The 14,460-nt window shown below is 53.2% G+C and overlaps 1 long non-coding RNA gene across 2 annotated transcripts, besides 3 other annotated features; it reads left to right on the top strand.

Moving 5' to 3' along the window:
• The first annotated feature begins 5,647 nt into the window (after nucleotides 1-5,647).
• LOC105372655 (uncharacterized) lies at nucleotides 5,648-10,197 on the top strand. 2 transcript variants are annotated; one of them, XR_936832.2, is made up of 4 exons: nucleotides 5,648-6,144; nucleotides 8,653-8,855; nucleotides 9,186-9,630; nucleotides 10,111-10,197. It is a non-coding gene; the product is annotated as an uncharacterized LOC105372655 (long non-coding RNA). The 2 variants fall into 2 exon arrangements; XR_936831.2 differs by lacking the exon at nucleotides 10,111-10,197 and having other exon boundaries at nucleotides 9,186-9,980.
• Nucleotides 6,234-6,323: an enhancer, noted in NCBI's record as "active region_18082". NCBI's record gives its function as "activates an Ori minimal core promoter by ATAC-STARR-seq in GM12878 lymphoblastoid cells {active_cell/tissue: GM12878}" and the evidence as "EXISTENCE:reporter gene assay evidence [ECO:0000049][PMID:35858748]".
• Nucleotides 8,021-8,606: an enhancer, noted in NCBI's record as "H3K27ac-H3K4me1 hESC enhancer chr20:48671143-48671728 (GRCh37/hg19 assembly coordinates)". NCBI's record gives its function as "activates a minimal SCP1, AML or CMV promoter by ChIP-STARR-seq in naive H9 embryonic stem cells {active_cell/tissue: H9 hESC(naive)}" and the evidence as "EXISTENCE:reporter gene assay evidence [ECO:0000049][PMID:30033119]".
• Nucleotides 12,671-13,465: an enhancer, noted in NCBI's record as "H3K27ac-H3K4me1 hESC enhancer chr20:48666284-48667078 (GRCh37/hg19 assembly coordinates)". NCBI's record gives its function as "activates a minimal SCP1, AML or CMV promoter by ChIP-STARR-seq in naive H9 embryonic stem cells {active_cell/tissue: H9 hESC(naive)}" and the evidence as "EXISTENCE:reporter gene assay evidence [ECO:0000049][PMID:30033119]".

The following is a 14,460-nucleotide window of genomic DNA, read 5'->3' as shown; positions in this document are numbered from 1 at the left end:
GTAGAGAAGGAGTTTCGCCACGCTGGCCAGGCTGGTCTCAAACTCCTGACCTCAGATGATCTGCCTGCCTCTGTCTCCCAAAGCACTGGGATTGCAGGTGTGAGCCACCACGTCTGGGCCAGGTCGACAAACATTTTTAAAAATTAAAAAATAAAGAGAAAATGCAAGGCATGCAATGAAATGCCTGTTTTCCCCAGTGTGTGTCTGTATTTCCCCAGTGTGTGTAGTTAGAGAAAAAATCCAGAAGAAAACACTCCACCATTTCAACCCCAGTACTCCAGCCCAGTTCTCAGGCAGGGGTTGCCCCTCTCTGGGACACGTGGAGGAGACATTTTGGGTTGTCACACTCTGGGGGGCCTCCCAATCTGTAGGCAGAAGCCCAGGATGCTGCTAAGCATCCCACGGTGGACAGGACAGGCAGCCCCCACGCAGAGACACACTGGGCCCAGAATGTGGCCGACATTGAGAAACCCTGTTCTCATGAGGCACGGTGGCTCACGCCTGTAATCTCAGCACTTTGGGAGGCTGAGGTGGGAGGATCAGAGGATCACTTGAGTCCAGGAATTCGAGGCTGCAGTGAGCTATGATCATGCCACTATACTCCAGTCTGGGCAACAGAGCAAGACCCTGACTCAAAAAAAAAAAAAAAATCAAAGAAAAGCAACCCTGCTCTCCCTGTATGGGTGTGGGGACATATCTTTCCTCTCCTCGCCTTTCCGTATTTCCTAAAGGAAAGTGACCAAGAATGTGGACTGAGCCACCAGAAGGACTGGCGCTGGAATTCTGGCCCTGCCTCTCACCGGCTGTGTGCCCCGGGCAAGTGTCCAGACATCACTGATCATCTGCCTCGGGGGGTGCATGGCTTGCCTCATGCAGCTGTAGGAAGATTTGGTGAGAGGAGGCCTATGAAGGGGCTGGTTCACAGGTAGCCCTCAATTCAGGAGAAGCTGTTCATATCTATAGGAAAAATACTGGTAACTGGTCCAGGTGCAGTGGCTCACACCTATAATCCCAGCACTTTGGGAGGCTAAGGTGGGAGGTTCACTTGAGGTCAGGAGTTTAAGACCAGCCTGGGCAACATAGCAAGACCCCATCTCAAAAAAAAAAAAAATGCTAGTAACAGCATCAGTGACTGAGCTTGTGATGCCCAGAGACTGGGCCAGCAGGGCAGGAGACGTCAATGTGGTCACCCTCACCACAAGCCTTTGACGAAAGGACTGGTATTAGGCCCACTCAACAGAGAAGGAAACTGAGGCACAGAGAGGCTAGGCAATATGCCCAACGTCACACAGCAAGTAAGTGGCAAGGCAGGGATGGGAAGCCTAGCTACAGGGCCCAAGTTCCCACACTGCAACCATTGGGTCCTCACCGTCTCCAGCCCCAGATAAGGGGGGGGTTTTCAATTGAGTTTTCCCATTTGTCTTCTCTAAAACTTAGAATTTTTTCCCCAAAAGTCTATGTTGGCATTTGGATCATTGCTAAAATGGCAGGTACCTCAGGTAGCCAGCCATTAACCTCCTGCCTGGGCCCCAGACATCCTGCCAGGGGCCCCAGTTTCTCTGAAGAGGGGCCAAAACAGCCAGGAATTTCACGCCCCTCCTGCCCTGGGCCAACTTCAAAACAGCTCCATGTCATAAGCCCTGCTTTGATTCCAGTCATTTTATGAGCATGAAATTCAAGTCTTACTCCCTCCGAGGTTGTCAAGCTCCTTGGGGGATAGGGTGGCCTTGTGGGGCCACTGGACAGGCCACAGGGAAGGTGTCAGGGCTTTCAAAAGATCTGAGGTTGGGAAAGCCAGAGTCTCCCTTTAAGACTCAGGGCTGTGCCTGGAGAGGGGACCCAGGGCCCACTTCTCCTAGGAAGCACCTACTATGTGCTGGGTGTTCTGCCAGCCCATGTTGGCCTCCACTCTCCACAACAGCTTCTACAAAGCCAGATGACTTTTCCCCAATTACAGATGGGGAAAATGGGGCTTAGTGAGGAACAGTCACTCCAGTCACTGGGCAGAGTCAGGATCTAGGCTCTTTCCCCTGCATCCTGCTGCCTCCCGACTTCCAGAGTCACAGCAAGAGGGACGAAGGGCAGACAGGTGGAGAACTTCCCTCCCAACTGCCTGAGCTCTGGGCTGTAGCCGAAGGTGATGAGACTCACTTGGGTGGACCTTCTGAGGTGCATTCAGAACTCGGGGATAAACATTGGCTCTAACTTATCTGCAAGGCACCAGAAGGGGAGAGACCCCCGAAATCTCGGCTGTGGGTGTCCACGTTGGGTGTGGACATGGGCTTCTGGGATTAGGGGTTCCACAGAACCTGATTTCCTGGTTACCTCCTTGAGGCCGGGCCCTCAACAGCTCTTCACAGCCCCCACCTCACTGGCTGGACAGCATCCAGCCCCCAACACAGCCTGAACAACAGCCCTGAAATGCCCCGAAACGAGTCTTCCAGGGCCGCCACAAACGTGGTGGCTTAGAAAAAGAGAAGTATCAGCCCGGGCAACATGGCGAGACCCCATCTCTACAAAAAATACAAAAATCAGCTGGGCGTGGTGGTGCATGTCTGGAGTCCCAGCTACTAGGAAGACCCAACCAGCTCCCGGCTGGGACCCTGCCATAGCTCCCTATGGCCCTTAGGCAGACATCTGGCCACACCCCGCGGGCCCTGCACAACTCAAAGGAGCTCTCCATTCATTCCTTCTCTCATTCATTCATTCATTCACACATTTATTCACACAGCAAAATCCGAACGAGTCTTCCAGGGCTGCCATAAACGTGGTGGCTTAGAAAAAGAGAAGTATTAGCCTGGGCAACATGGCGAGACCCCCATCTCTACAAAAAATACAAAAATCAGCTGGGCGTGGTGGTTCGTGTCTGGAGCCCCAGCTACTAGGAAGGCTGAGGTGGGAGGATCACTTGAGCCTGGAGAGGTCGAGGCTGCAGTGAGCTGAGATTGCACCAATGCACTCCAGCCTGGGCGACAAAGCAAGACCATGTCTCAAAAAAAAAAAAAAAAAAAAAAAGGCCGGGCGCGGTGGCTCACGCCTGTAATCCCAGCACTTTGGGAAGCCAAGGCGGGCGGATCACGAGGTCAGGAGATCGAGACCATCCTGGCTAACATGGTGAAACCCCGTCTCTACTAAAAATACGAAAAAAATTAGCTGGGCGTGGTGGCGGGCGCCTGTAGTCCCAGCTACTCAGGAGGCTGAGGCAGGAGAATGGCGTGAATGGCGTGAACCCGGGAGGAGGCGCCTCCAGCCTGGGCGACTCTGTCTCAAAAAAAAAAAAAAAAAAAGGAGAGAGAGAGACAGAGAAATATGTCCTCCCACAGTTCTGGAGGCCAGAAGTCTGAAGTCAGGGCATCAGCAGGGTGCGCCCCTCTGAAGGCTCCGGGCAATTACCCGCCTTCACCTTATTCCAGCTCCTGGTGTTCCCCAGGGTTCCTCGGCACCCCTGGGCTTGTGGCCGCATCTCTCCAGTTCCTGCCTCTGTCTTCACACGGCCTTCTCCTCTGTGCCTCTCTGTGTATCCTCCTCCTCTTCTTCTTCTTCTTCTTTTTTTTTTTTTTTTTTTTTTGAGACAGAGTCTTGCTCTGTCACCCAGGCTGGAGTGCAGTGGCGTGATCATGACTCACTGCAGCCTCCGCCTCCCAGGTTCAAGTGATTCGCTTGCCTCAGCCTCCCGAGTACCTGGAATTACAGGTGTGCAACACCACGCCCAGGTAATTTTTGTATTTTCAGTAGAGATGGGCTTTCACCATGTTGGCCAGGCTAGTCTCGAACTCCTGGCCTCAAGTGATCCACCAGCCTCAGCCTCCCAAAGTGCTGGGACTACAGGTGTGAGCCACCATGCCTGGCCTTCCCACTCCTCTTCTTACAAGGCCACCAGGCATTGGACTTCGGGCCCACCGCAACTCCAGTGTGATCTTATCTGGAGATCCCTATCTAATTAATCAGCCAATGCCCCTACTTCCAAATATGGTCACATTCTGAGGTTCCTGGTAGACATGAACTTCAGGGGAACAGAAGGTCATCCACCATAAGCACCTACTGTGTGCTCCAGGCCCAGGGGACAGTATGGTGGATGAGGCAGACAGGACGGGCTCTGCCCTCATAGAGCTCCAGTTCAGAGGTGGGGTGGGAGGGAGGAAGACAGAAACATAATTACAGAAGTGATGCTTTCGTTACAACTGCAATAAGCTCTGCCAAGAAGCATCGGACAGAGCCCTCACCTTCGGCTGGGCTGGGATGGGTGAGACCATCAGCACCCAGTCACCCAGCCTGCCTTGCCAGGCCTGGGCAGCGGCCTCCCAAAGGCCTATTTCCCTCCACCCAACTTCCCTCTCATGCTTCCTGGGGTCGTTGCCTGGAACTCACTTCCTCCTGGAAGCCTCTCCTGGCCCTACAGTCTATGTCAGGTGCTTCCTCTGGCGCTCCCAAGGCCCCCGAACTTCCTCCTATCACTGGTAGGTGGTAGGGTTGTCTTTTTTTCTAACTTGGGAATTTTTTATTTTTTTAAAGACAGGGTCTCGCTCTGTGGCTTAAGCTGGAATGGTGCAATCACAGCTCACTACAGCCTCGACCTCCCAGGCTCAAGCAACTCTCCCACTTGAGCCTCCCGAGTAACTGGGACTTCAGACAGGCGCCACCATACCCAGCTAATGTTTTGATTTTTTTTGTAGAGATGGTGTCTCTCTATGTTGCCCAGGCTGGTCTCAAACTCCCAGGCTCAAGCAATCCTCCCATCTTGGCCTCCCAAAGCGCTAGAATTACAGGGATGAGCCACCGCTCCCGGCTTAACTTGGGAATTCTTTATGTTTATTTACTTACGAAAAGACTGCTTTCAGTTAAAAAAAAAAAAAAAAAAAACTTTGATAGAAAAGTGCACTCTCGGCCGGGCGTGGCGGCTCACATCTGTAATCCCAGCACTTTGGGGGGCCGAGGCGGGTGGATCACCTGAGGTCAGGAGTTCGAGACTGGCCTGGTCAACATGGAGAAACCCTGTCTCTACTAAAAACATAAAAATTAGCCAAGCATGTTGGCAGGCGCCTGTAATCCCAGCTACTTTGGAGGCTGAGGCAGGAGAATCACTTGAACCCAGGAGGCAGAGGTTGCAGTGAGCCGAGATTGTGCCACTGCACTCCAGCCTGGGCGACAAAGTGAGACTCCATCTCAACAACAACAACAACAAAAGATTAAAAAAAAAAAAAGAAAGTGCACTGTCTTCCTCCCCTCCCTAAATATATGGTCCAGAAATTCCCTCTCTTGGCAGGCAGATGCACTCAGCATAGTCACTGGTACACAGTAGGTGCACCATAAATGTTTGAATCCATGAGTAGCCAGTGCTGGGCTCTAGGGACAGGAAGACAATGAAGTCACCACCCCTGGTCCCCAGGAATTCACTGCGGTACAATCTCTATGCTGCCCAGTCCAGAGTGGGGTACACAGTTGGTGCTCCCTAAATGCTGCTGGTGGTTGGGAAGTTGCCCTTGGGGTCCCTGCCATCTTTGCTGCCATTGGCGCAGTCAGGGCTGGACCCTGGGTGGAGTGGACCCAGGGGCTGGCGGGGTGCCCTCTGGGACAGCTGGGGCCAGGCTGCCAGAGTCTGGGAATCCCGGCTTCCTTGCCTCAGGCACCTGCTGTTTTCTCTGGGTCTTGACTCTGGTGGTCGGCTTTTCGCATCCAGGTCTTCCGTCACCAACCACTGCTCAGACTTCAGGACCTTGGTGGAGGACAGGGCGTTCCCGGGCCATCCATTAGCATTTATCACGTTCCTCCCATGTGCCCGGGGCTGTGTCACGTGCCAGCATGGGGAGCGGGAAGAAAATGCCAGGCCTCACTGTGCGGGGCAAGTCAAGGGAAAAATCCTGGATTCAGCCGCACAAGCGGAGGGGCAGGAGGAAGACCTATCATAGCCTCCTCTTATGAAACCTTTTGTGCTGGGCCACTCCTGTACCCACGTGATCTCACCTGATCCTTACAACAGCCTTTCGAGTCTGGCACCCTTGGATTCCCAGTTACAGATGAGGACACAGGGGTCCAGAGAGGCTGAGACTTGCCTGGGGCCACACAGCAAGTCAGGCATGGGGATAGCAAGGACACCAGGCAGCTTGCCCTGCGGCCCAAACCCTCGTCTTTGTCCAGCCACTAGAGGTAGGTATGTGGGGAGGAGGGAGGAGGCCTTCTTTTCTAACTTTGCAATTCTCTGTATTTTCTAAAGTTTGTTCAATGGACATGTTTCACTTTTGCAATCAGAAAGAAACGAAACCGAGAAAGCATGTTGTTTTAGTAGAGATTCCTTATGAAGCTGTTTTCTCTCACCCTTCTGAACAGCCAACTGTCCCTGTGCCTCAGTTTCCCTTTCAGCCGCAGTGCTGGTGGGACAACACAGGGACACACACTTTGGGGAAAGCAAATTAGCAATGGCTCTCAGAAGAGGAAAAGTGTCTACCCTGCACAGCTCTACCTCTAAGAATTGACCATCAGAGTCTAGACAGCACCTGCCTGAGTCCTCGAAGACTCGGACACCGGGTGCCCGTAGTCAGTGTGGTCTGTAGTAGTGAACCTCAGGCAGCAACCTACATCATCATCAACAGGGGCCTGGAAAACTGGACGTGGTGCATTCCCATGGTGGAATACCACACAGCTGCAAACAAGGACAGTTGCAGAGAGGGCCGGAGTATACTGCTAAGTGAAAAAAGCCAGGTGCAGAGCAGCATTTTTGTTTTTTTTTTTTTTTGAGATAGAGTCTCATTCTGTCTGGAATGCAGTGGCGTGATCTCAGCTTACTGCAGCCTCCACCTCTCGGGTTCAAGCAATTATCCTGCCTCAGCCTCCCAAGCAGCTGGGATTACAGGTGCTCACCACCATGCCCGACTAATTTTTGCATTTTTAGTAGAGATGGGTTTTCACCATGTTGGCCAGGCTGGTCTCAAACTCCTGACCTCAGGGGATCCGTCCACCTTGGCCTCCCAAAGTGCTGGGTTTATAGGCGTGAGCCACTGTGCTCAGACTATATTTTGATACTATTTATAAAACCAAAAACAAAAGAGGACAGAGAATGTATGTGGATTTTCTTGTGGGTGTTCAGACAATCTCTAGAAAGCATTAGAAGCCATTTTTAACAGGAGTAGGGCTGAGGGTCGGGAGCAGGTGGATGTCTCAGGTTTTTTCTCTGTTTTTTTTCCCAGTTATTATGATTTATTATTACAAAATAGTTCAGGCCACTGAATAAAATATACAGAATAGCATCCCTGGAGGCCAGGCGTGGTGGCTCCCGCCTGTAATCCTAGCACTTTGGGAGGCCAAGGCAGGAGGATTGCTTGAACTCAGGAGTTCAAGACCAGCCTGGGCAACATGGCAAAACCCTGTCTCTATTTTTAAAAAATTATCTGGGCGTGGTGGTGCGTGCCCGGAGTCCCAGCCACTCGCGAGGCTGAGGTGGGAGGACTGCTGGAGCCCAGTAGGTCAAGGGCTGCAGTGAGCCAGCGATGGCGCCACTGCACTCCAGCCTGGATGACAAAGCGAGATCCTGTCTCCAAAGAAGAAAAAGAAAAAGAATAACACCCCCACCCCCACCTAAAAAAGAAAATACCGCAGAGAAAACATAGCCCCTGCAAACCCCCCAACCCCAGTTACTCTCCTCCCCGCTAAGAACTGGCTCTCTGAATCTGCAATTTCTCCTTCCCACGAGTGTCTACACTTTGATGTCTCACTGAGCACTCTCTGAATTTTGATGAATTTTGCACTTTTGTTCCGTGTGGGTTACCTCTACCCCCCTGGAATGCAGAAAAATAAACGCTGCAGGAGGGTTCTGGCATTGTTACCCCTCCCGGACTGCTCCTGCAGCTTCAGTTTCCTGGCAAAGGGGCTGTCCCTCGCCTGGGCCCCCAGGGGACTCGAGGAGAACAGAGGAGCTGGGCCGTGGAGCACACGAAGACCAGGGCACAAGAGCACAAGTGCGACTGGCCTGGCTTCTGCAGGCCCGGGGCTCAGAGCCAGCAGGCTGGAGCCAGGCGGCCTCCTGGGCCTCCTCACAGCCGCTTTTGATAAAGCCCCTCTGTGCGTGGGGTGGGGGGGCCCGGCCGGCTGGAGCCAGCTCACATCTGGAGGCCAGCACAGGCCTGGGGCAGCCGGCGCGGCTGACAGCGGCGCCACCCCGAGCCACACGCCGGCCCTGGATAAACACGCCCGCGCCCACCCAGCCGCTCACCTTTCGCCCACAAGGCTGCCTTTCTTCTCGGATCCAGGCTGGGGCCACCACGAACATTCCTCCCAGGCACAGGGCAGAACGGGCCGCTGACCTCAAGGCTGAGTGAAGCAAAAGAAGGGCTTGGAAAAGCACCTACTACCTGCCAGGCACTGCACGTATTTCAGGCTCACTGCTACCCTGGGAGCAGAGACATGTGGGCAAGAATGTGCACGCTGGAGCTAGGAGACCTGAGTTCAAATCCTAGCTCCAGCTGTGTGACTTCCAGTAAGTCACTTAACCTCTCTGAGCCTCCATTTCCTCATCTGTGAACGGGCAATAATAATAGTCCCCTTCTCAGAGGGCTATGTAAACATTTAAAAAGTTACTGTAGTAAGTTGCTTGGAGGAGTGCCTCACCCATGCACTCAATACCACATTCGACAAAGTGATACTGAGGCTTTTCTGTGCCAGGAACGAGGATAAAGATGGTGAAAAATGGGGACTCAGGCCTCGGGGAGCTGTGTCTCTGCTCAGCGGAGCAGGAAGGGATGGTCCTGAGGGGAACTCACAGAGCAACTGGCTCCCCCACCTTGTCCTGCTGCCGGGTGTCCTGGGACAAGGCTACCACCCAGCGGCCACCCAGCCAGGATCCAGCCCAGTTTGGAGACAGGCAGGTATGGGAGCAGGTCAAGGCTCCTTACCCCTTTCCCTGGGATATTACGACCCAGCACCAGCCTGGATCTCTTCCTTCTGTGCCAAGGTGTGGGCTCTGGGGTTGGTGGGTGTGGCAGGAGAGGCAGCCGGGTTACCTGACGCTGTGCCAGGTTCTGTGAGACCTTCAGAGACAGCTCCAGGTGCACATCAGGCTGTCTTTTCCTGGCGACCTCAACATATCCATCCCACTGCCTCCCTGGCCCTTTGTCTCCTCATCTGCAAGGGGCGGGGCCCTAACAGCACTAGGTACCAGTTACTTCCCTGACCCTCTGTTTCCTTGTTTTCAAAAGGACAAGAGCGTCAGGTGCCAGTTGTGTCGAGGAGAGACCCTGTGAGAGAGGCTGTGGGAAAAGCACAGTGCCTGGCACAAAGGGAGAGGTCTGAGTAAAAGTCAAGGTGGCTTCCTGGAGGAGGCCACTGTGCTCTCCGGCGGCAGGAGAAGCAGGAATAGAAGGAGTTTCCGGAAAAGGAAGAGGGAGAAGCTGTGTTCAGCGCCTGCGCCGTGTGTGGAGTGCAAACTGTCTGCAGGAGCCGAATCATTGAATCTTCCAGCAATCCTGTACTCCAGCCATCCCCATTTTACAGATGAGAAAACTGAGGCTGGGGGTGGAAATAATTTATTCACTCAGGGAGTAAAAGCTGGAGCCAGAATTTAAACCCAGCTGGCAATGATGCCCCCCTTCCCTCCCTCCTCGGGTCTTTACGGCATCCTCATGGTGTGCTGGATTCACAGAGGTAAAGTGAACCCAGCATCAACCCTCAAGGAGCACCCCCCTTACATCTCTGTCTTCCCCCCACCTTGACCACCACCCACGTTGCCCCTTCCGGGCCTCAGTTTCCCTCCTCTGAGCAATGGGTTCAGTTTCTGCCACCCCTTCTGGCCCAGGGTCCCCAACTCAGGGCGGTGTGGAGGTGTGGCAGCTGAGGCGGCTAGTGAGGTGGGGGTCCTCCACCTGCTGCCACCCCCCAGTCCCCCATGAACCTGCTCGCCAGGCTGGAGCCAGCCGCCATCTGGAGCGACGGGCTGTTTATGGAGCCAGGCGGCGGCGGCCCTGGCCCTGACCCGGCCAATCTGGAAGTGATTAGCAGCCGGGGCTGGGGAGCATTTGGAGTTCTCATCAGTCAGCCGGGACCCCCCTCCCCAAAGCCCCACACCCCTGGCTGCCCAGAGCCAGGGCCACTCTGAGGGACTCTGAGGAGCCCCCTTTCTTGCAGGGCATTCCAGCTCGGACCTGCTCCAAGGCCAGGAGCGCAGAACACCAGCAGAGGTGGGAGACCAGACTGGGCCACCCACAGGCCGGGATGTGGGGGTGGGAGGGGGCGGGGCTGAGAGGGACGATTTGGGGCTTTCGCTAAGGAAGGAAACCTCTTGCAGAATTTCTTTCTGTAGTGTTTGGTTTTGAATATCCACACAAGTGCACAGAAAAAAAGGAACAACCCAAACAGCGTGGAAGGGGACAAAGGGTGGAAAGTCGGTGTCCTTTCCCCTCCCTCAGGTCCCCACTCCCTCCACCACTGCCGCCAGTCTCTTGGGTCTCTGGAGATGGTGTGAACATCTACACACGCATCTATCTGGTCATCTTCTTTACCTTTTTCTCCAAGTAGCAGCTTGCTTTACCTCAGTCCCACTCCCTCCTTTTTTCCCCCTTGGATTAATCCATACTTCTACTACTACTACTACTACTACTACTACTACTACTACTGCTAATGCTTTTATTTTTAAATTAATTATTATTTATTTAAGAGGCAGAGTCTCACTGTGTCACCCAGGGTGGAATGCAGTGGCACAATCATAGCTCACTGCAGCCTCGACCTCTTAGATTCAAGTGATCCTCCTGCCTCAGCCTCCTGTGTAGCTGGGACTACAGGTGCATGCCACCACACCCAGCTAATTTTTTGTTTTTTTATTTTTCTAGAGACGAGGTCTCGCTGTGTTGCCCAGGCCGGCCTCTAACTCCTGGGCTCAAAGGATCCTCCTGCCTCAGCCTCCCAAAGTGCTGGGATTACAGGTGTGAGCCACCGTGCCCGACCTAATGATAATGTCAATAATATCAATAATGTCAATAATAATCATAGCAACAGCAAAGTTTCTCTAGGGCTTAGTCTGTATCAGACACAGTCTGAGGCTTTATATCGGGGTCCCCAACTCCTGGACTGGAGACAGGTACCCATTCGTGGCCTGTTAGGAACCGGGCTGCACAGCAGGAGGTGAGCAGCAGACAAGCGAGCATTACCGCCTGAACTCCGCCTCCTGTCAGATCACCCACATCATTAGATTCTCAGAGAAGTGCGAACCCTATTGCAGATTGCATATACGAGAGATATGCACAACACACAACCCCCCACACAACCCCCAGCCCCTTTCAGATTGTCTTCCACGAAACCGGTCCCTGGTGCTAAAAAGGTTGGAGACCGCTGCTTTATATGGATTAACTCATTAACCCAGGGTGAAGTGAACCTATCATGAGAGTCTGTTGTGGTTTGTTTATTTATTTATTTATTTATTTATTTATTTTTTGAGGTGGAGTCTTGCTCTGTCACCAGGCTGGAGTGCAGTGGTGCGATCTTGGCTCACTACAACCTCTGCCTCCTGGGTTCAAGCGATTCTTCTGCCTCAGCCTCCCGAGTAGCTGGGATTACAGGCGCCCGCCACCACACCCGGCTAATTTTTGTATTTTTAGTAGAGATGGGGTTTCACCATGTCGGCCAGGGTGGCCTCGAACTCCTGACCTTGTGATCTGCCCACCTCGGCCTCCCAAAGTGCTGGGATTACAGGCGTGAGCCACTGTGCCAGGCCTGTTGTGTTTTGTTTGTTTGTTTTTGAAACAAAGTTTCGCTCTGTTGCCCAGGCTGGAGTACAGTGGCTTGATCTCGGCTCACTGCAACCTCTGCCTCCCAGGTTCAAGCTATTCTCTTGCCTCACTCAGCCTCCTAAGTAGCTAGGATTACAGGCATGCACCACTATGCCTAGCTAATTTTTTTTTTTTTAATTATTTGTAGAGATGGGTTTTCACAATGTTGGCCAGGCTGGTCTTGAACTCCTGACCTCAGGTGATCCGCCCACCTCAGCCTCCAAAGTGCTGGGATTACAGGTGGGAGCCACCATGCCTGGCCGAGGGTCTGTTGTTATCATCATCCCCATTTTGAGGATAAGGAAACAGAAGCACAGAGAAGCAAGGCACCTTCCCAACTCCACACAGCAGTGACTGGAGAACTCAGGTTCAGGCCAGGCCTGTGGTCCAAAACTCCGCCCCATCCTGCCTGTCCGAGACTCCAGAATATTCTGCCGTCTGGATGGATCCTGGTGGATTTGATGAGGCCTTGGGTGGTGGATGCAGCATTGAGTTGTTTTCATCTGGGGCTGGTGGGAACTGTGTGGGGAACACCCTGGTGGGACGTCATCGCCTGGGGGTTGGGGTGTGGTTCCATTCCCAGAAGGGGCCTGGCTGGTCACAGGACTGAACAGCCCTCAGGCCCAAGGCCATTGCCCAACTGTACTCCATGGGGAGGTGCTGACACCTGATCCCATCCCCTGCGAGGACAGTGGGACAGTGGAAGCCCCGGCTCCCACATCATGGGCCTGTTCCTAGGGAACTCAGACCAGGTCTGACACGGCAGGGTTTGCGGATACCTCTATCTGTGCTAAGCCTCACTCCAGCACACGCTTCTGCTGGGGCCAGAGTGAAGCATGAAGAACGTATATCAAGTCTGGCCTCTGCCAACTCATGTGCCCCCATCACCCTCAGGATAAGGCCCAGCCCCCTCTCCCTCCCCTCCCTTCCCTCTGACTTGGGTCACCCAGTGCCACAACCATTGTCTGATGGTTGTCTCCCCAGACAGGTGTCAGCCCCACCATGACAGAGATTTTGGCCTGTGTTATTCACGTCCATGTCCCCAGAGCCTAGAGCAGAGCCTGGCGCATAGTGGGTGCTCAAAACATTTGTGTGTTTTTTTTTGAGACAGATCTCACTCTGTCACCCAGGCTGGAGTGCAGTGGTACAATCTTGGCTCACAGCAACCTCTGCCTCCCAAGTTCAAGCGATTCTCAAGCAATTCTCGTGCCTCAGCCTCCCAAGTAGCTGGTATTACAGGCGCCCACCACCACACCCAGCTAAATCTTGTATTTTTCGTAGAGACGGGGTTCTTCCATGTTGGCCAGGCTTGCCTTGAACTTCTGGCCCCAAGTGATCTGCCCACCTTGGCCTCCCAAAGTGCTGGGATTAGAGGCATGAGCCACAGCTCAAAACAGTTGTTGAATGCGAGTGTGCATGAATATATGATTATATGAAAGAATGAGTGAGTCAGTGACGAGCCCAGTCTGACTGCCTCGGAGGGCTCTGTCAGCATGATGGCTGCCCTGAAGGTAGTGGGGTCCAGGCCCAGACCTGGGGGAGGGGGAGGAGGTCCAGCTGGAAGAGGAAGAAACAAACAAGGGTTTATAAAGCATCTACTTCACATTGGGCACTCTCGCCTTCCTACGGCCTGTAAGACCCATCACACAGATGAGGAAACTGAGTCCCCTTCGTTCACTCCACAAACCCATCCTTGGAGTCTCCAGGGCTGGGGCAGGGGTGACAGCAGAGAACCAGCCAGGCACTGACCCTGGTTTTTCAGAACTGATCAGGGAGACAAATCTGACAGGAAGTGAAACAGAATAAACCAGAGCTAACACCCAGCTCCTCTGTAATGCCACTCTGCAGCCAGCCACTGGTGTGAATCCTGGCACCGCCGCGCATGAGCTTGTTTAAGAGGTTGGGTTCTTGGCCAAGTGCAGTGGCTCATGCCTCTAATCCCAGCACTTTGGGAGGCTGAGGCAGGAGGATCACCTGAGCTCAGGAGTTCGAGACCAGCTTGGGCAACATAGCGAGACCTTGTCTCTATAAAAAATTGGCTGGACATGGTGGTGCACACCTGTGGTTTTAGCTGCTTGAGAGGCTGAGGCAGGAAGCCCAGGAGGTCATGGCTTCAGTGGGCTGTGATTGCATCACTGCACTCCAACCTGGACAATAGTATGAGACTCTGTCTCAGAAAAAAAAAAAAAAAAGTTATATTCTTGACACAAGTGACACCTGTCTGCCCCCTGTTCTGGGTGTCCAGCAGCAACACTGGCGAATGCTTATGTAGTGCCAGGTGCCCATCAAAGAGCTTTACACAGACGCACTCATTTAATTTTCAAGACTCTTCCGACGTGGGGACTATTATCCCCATCCTGCAGTTGAGGAAACTGAGGCTCACAGAAGATGAGTGATTTGCCCAGGGACACACTAAAGTAGACCCAGGAAAGTTACACTATGAAATCACACACAGAGTCATGGATGCCAGGTTCGGGATGATGTCGCCTCTGGAGGGGGCGGGGAGGGGCTGAGATCAGAAGGATGCCAGGAGCATCCCACGGTCACTGCCACGGTTAACTTCTCTCTTGGAGGTAGGAACATGTACAGAGGCTCAAGTACCATTTCTTTCTTTTTCATTTTATTTTTAACACATTTTTTGCACCATTTTTTTTTTGCAAATTGAAAATGGTCCAGAACAGGAAGTAGCCATGTAGCCACATCACATAGAGTG

The sequence above is a fragment of the Homo sapiens genome, chromosome 20, assembly GCF_000001405.40.
Source record: "Homo sapiens chromosome 20, GRCh38.p14 Primary Assembly".
Taxonomy (NCBI): Eukaryota; Metazoa; Chordata; class Mammalia; order Primates; family Hominidae; genus Homo; species Homo sapiens.
This window is presented reverse-complemented; position numbering and strand designations above follow the sequence as displayed.